This window comes from Homo sapiens, chromosome 16 (genome assembly GCF_000001405.40).
Source record: "Homo sapiens chromosome 16, GRCh38.p14 Primary Assembly".
Taxonomy (NCBI): domain Eukaryota; kingdom Metazoa; phylum Chordata; class Mammalia; order Primates; family Hominidae; genus Homo; species Homo sapiens.
The window spans coordinates 49157503-49158605 of NC_000016.10; the positions used below are offsets into that span (position 1 = coordinate 49157503).

The 1103-nt window shown below is 40.9% G+C and overlaps 1 annotated feature.

The window, feature by feature from the left end:
* Window positions 576-870: a silencer, noted in NCBI's record as "tiled region #1667; HepG2 Repressive non-DNase unmatched - State 10:DNaseD, and K562 Repressive non-DNase unmatched - State 10:DNaseD". NCBI's record gives its function as "represses a minimal TATA promoter and a strong SV40 promoter by Sharpr-MPRA in HepG2 and K562 cells {active_cell/tissue: HepG2 | K562}" and the evidence as "EXISTENCE:reporter gene assay evidence [ECO:0000049][PMID:27701403]".

The following is a 1103-nucleotide window of genomic DNA, read 5'->3' on the forward strand; positions in this document are numbered from 1 at the left end:
TCACATCTATTTTGGGTTTGAAATTTTTCATTTTTCACTTCAACCACTGCAATCATCTTTTAACTGGTCTTCCTGTCATTAGTTTCCTTCCCCTCTAATCTGTCTTCCAAAGCACTGCCACAATGATGCTTATAAAATGCAAAAAGGAACAAGCTACTACACTTTCCAAAATCCAGTGGTTCACTATCACACATATCATATAATTATCTCTTCTTTTAACAAATAAGTACTGAGTACCTGCCTATTTTCTTGCTAGGTGCTATGTTTACAGTGGCAAACAACACAAACATGTACCCCTAGTCATGGAGCTTTAATTGCCATGGACTTTTAAAAAACTTTATTCCTTTAAATGTGTTCTACTAGTACAGTCATGTTGTATTTCCTGCTCACGTCCTAAAATTATTTCTTGAAACACTTCCACCTCTGCAAAATTATTTCAGTCATATTGACTTGGAGATCCTTTAAGAAACAAATCCCCGTGAAAGAAAAGTTTTATTAGCTGGCCAACATGTTTGCTGAATGGACAAATGAACAATAAACCACTGCAGGGTAAAACTAGGATGAGCCAAACAAGGCACCCAGGGCACAAAATGTAAGGAGGCACTCACTCTCAGGGTGTGCCCTCCGTGCTCTGCTGCTCTACTCTAGTTTGGGTCCTGGACAGCCATTAGAAGCCAAGGATGACTGGGGGTGAAGAAGAGAAAGGTGTTTGTGTGAGCTGTCCATGGTGCTGATTAGGCAACTGCTGTTGTGCACTGTCCAGGGTTCTGTTTAGAAGCGGCACATATATGGTTTCCTTTGCCTATGTGCAGCCTTGGCTTTCCATAGATCTTTGTTTGAGGATCAAAGTGGCTAAGGTATGTGGCACACCACAGGTTCCAGGCTTCATTCCAAAATGCACCAAGAAAACCAGACAGAATATGTCTCTGCTATTTGGTTTCTGGAAAAAACAGGTGCTGTGCATTCTCTGGTGCCTAGGGAAGCCAAAATACCCACCCCTTAACTCTGCAGGGCCATTATAAAAACATGTTCTCCAAATTGTCTCTATAAATAATATCCAGGAATTTTCAAATGTCTCTGGGATGTCTTTCAATCCTGAGAAC